Source organism: Homo sapiens, chromosome 4 (assembly GCF_000001405.40).
Source record: "Homo sapiens chromosome 4, GRCh38.p14 Primary Assembly".
NCBI lineage: Eukaryota > Metazoa > Chordata > Mammalia > Primates > Hominidae > Homo > Homo sapiens.
In genome coordinates, this window is record NC_000004.12 from 147,292,006 (window position 1) to 147,295,100 (window position 3,095).

The 3,095-nt window shown below is 45.0% G+C and overlaps 1 annotated feature.

The window, feature by feature from the left end:
• Positions 309–1,508: an enhancer, noted in NCBI's record as "MED14-independent group 3 enhancer chr4:148213466-148214665 (GRCh37/hg19 assembly coordinates)". NCBI's record gives its function as "activates an origin of replication core promoter dependent on BRD2, BRD4, P300/CBP and CDK7 cofactors, and independent of MED14, by STARR-seq in HCT116 cells {active_cell/tissue: HCT116}" and the evidence as "EXISTENCE:reporter gene assay evidence [ECO:0000049][PMID:35650434]".

Below are 3,095 nucleotides of genomic sequence, written 5' to 3' on the forward strand. Positions count from 1 at the left end.
CTTGATTGTAACTTGCCTTTACAACTTGATATTTATGAAAAGTAAATGTAAATTAAGTTCATTTTGTTAATGTTTACATAATTCAGATTGATGGAAGTTATCTTATAAACTTATTTCTTTTCCAGATTATTGCTAGAACTTTTAAGAAATGCTTATTTTTGGGAGGTGGCTGGCAAGATGGCCGAAGAGGAACAGCTCCGGTCCGCAGCTCCCAGCAAGATCAACACAGAAGACAGGTGATTTCTGCATTTCCAACTGAGGTACCCGGCTCATCTCATTGGAACTGGTTAGACAGTGGGTACAGCCCACAGAGGGTGAGCTGAAGCAGGGTGGGTTGGTGCCTCACCGGGGAAGGGCAAGGGGCCAGGGAACTCCCTCCCCTAGCAAAGGGAAGCCGTGATGGACTGTGCCATGAAGGACGGTGCATTCTAACCCAGATACTAGGCTTTTCCCATGGTCTTCACAACCCACAGACCAGGAGATTCCCCTGGGTGCCTACACCACCAGGGCCCGGGGTTTCAAGCACAAAACTGGGTGGCCATTTGGGCAGACACTGAGCTAGCTGCAGGAGTTTCTTTTCATACACCAGTGGTGCCTGGAATGCCAGCAAGACAGAACCATTCACTACCCTGGAAAGGGGGCTGAAGCCAGGTAACCAAGTGGTCTAGCTCAACGGATCCCACCACTACAGAGCCCAGCACTGGTTTGAAATTCTGACTGCCAGCACAGCAGTCTGAAGTCGAGCTGGAATGCTCAGGCTTGGTGGGGGGAGGGGCATCTGCCATTACTGAGGCTTGAGTAGGCAGTTCTCACCTCACAGTGTAAACAAAGCCATCAGGAAGTTCAAACTGGGTGGAACACACTGCAGCTCAGCAAAGCCACTATAGCCAGACTGTCTCTCTAAGATTCCTCCTCTCTGGGCAGGGCATCTCTGAAAGAAAGGCAGCAGCCCTAGTCAGGGGCTTATAGATAAAACTTCCGTCTCCCTGGGACAGAGCATCTGGGGGAAGGGGCAGCTGTGGGCACAGCTTCAGCAGACTTAAATGTTCCTGCCTGCCAGCTCTGAAGACAGCAGGGGATTTCCCAGCACAGCGCTCGAGCTCTGCCAAGGGAGAAGCTGTCTCCTCAAGTGGGTCCCTAACCCCCGTGCCTCCTCACAAGGAGACACCTCCCAGCAGGGGTCGACAGACACCTCATACAGGAGAGCTCCGGCTGGCGTCTGGTGGGTGCCCCTCTGGGATGAAGCTTCCAGAGGGAGGAACAGGAAGCAATCTTTGCTGTTCTGCAGCCTCCGCTGGTGATACCCAGGCAAACAGGGTCTGGAGTGGACCTCCAGCAAACTCCAGCAGACCTGCAGCAGCGGGGCCTGACTGGTAGAAGGAAAACGAACAAACAGAAAAGAATGGCATCAACATCAACAAAAAGGACATCCACACAAAAACCCCATTCAAAGGTCACCAACATCAAGGGTCAAAGGTAGATAAATCCACGAAGATAAGAAAAATCAATGCCAGTGCAAAAAGGCTGAAAATTTCGAAAACCAGAATGCCTCTTCTCCTCCAAAGGATCACAACTCCTCGCCAGCAAGGGAACAAAACTGGATGGAGAATGAGTTTGACGAACTGACAGAAGTAGGCTTCAGAAGGTGGGTAATAACAAATTCCTTTGAGCTAAAGGAACATGTTCTAACCCAGTGCAAAGAAGCTAAGAACCTTGAAAAAAAGGTTAAAGGAATTGCTAACTAGAATAAGCAGTTTAGAGAAGAACATAAATGGCCTGATGGAGCTGAAAAAATACAGCACAAGAACTTCATAAAGCATACACAAGTATCAATAACCAAATTGAACAAGCAGAAGAAAGGATATCAGAAATTGAAGATCAACTTAATGAAATAAAATGTGAAGACAAGATTAGAGAAAAAAGAATGAAAAGCAATGAACAAAGCCTCCAAGAAATATGGGACTATGTGAAAATATCAAATCTACGTTTGATTGGTGTACCTGAGTGATGGGGAGAATGAAACCAAGTTGGAAAACACTCTTCAGGATATTATCCAGGAGAACTTCCCCAATCTATTAAGGCAGGCCAACATTCAAATTCAGGAAATCCACATAGACACTCCTTGAGAAGAGCAACCCGAGACACATAACCATCAAATTCACCAAGGTTGAAATGAAGGAAAAAATGTTAAGGGCAGCCAGAGAGAAAGGGTGGGTTGCCCACAAAGGGAAGCCCATCAGACTAACAGCAGATCTTTCTATATATAAGCCAAAAGAGAGTGTGGGCCAATATTCAACATTATTAAAGAAGAGAATTTTCAACCCAGAATTGCATATCCAGCCAAACTAAGCTTCATAAGTGAAGGAGAAATAAAATCCTTTACAGACAAGCAAATGCCGAGGGCTTTTGTCACCACCAGGCCTGCCTTACAAGAGCTCCTGAAAGAAGCACTAAATATGGAAAGGAAAAACCAGTACCAGCCACTGCAAAAACATAGCAAATTGTAAAGACCACCGACACTATGAAGAAACTGCATTAACTAACGGGCAAAATAACCAGCTAGCACCATAATGACAGCATCAAATTCACATATAATAATATTAACCTTGAATGTAAATGGGCTAAATGCCCCAATTAAAAGACACAGACTGGCAGACTGGCAAATTGGATAAAGACTCACGACTCATTGGTGTGCTGTATTCAGGAGACCCTTCTCATGTGCAAAGACACACATAGGCTCAAAATAAAGAGATGAAAGAGATTTACCAAGCAAATGGAAAGCAAAAAGAAGCACAGGATGCAATCCTAGTCTCTGATAAAACAGACTTTAAACCAACAAAGATCAAAAAAGACAAGAGCATTACATAATGGCAAAGGGATCAATGCAACAAGAAGAGCTAACTATCCTAAATATATATGCACCCCATACAGGAGCACCCAGATTCATAAAGCAAGTTCTTAGAGACCTACAAAGAGACTTAGACTCCTGCACAATAATAGTGGGAGACTTTAACACCCCACTGTCAAAATTAGATCAAAGAGACAGAAAATTAACAAGGATATTCAGGACTTGAACTCAGCTCTGGACCAAGCAG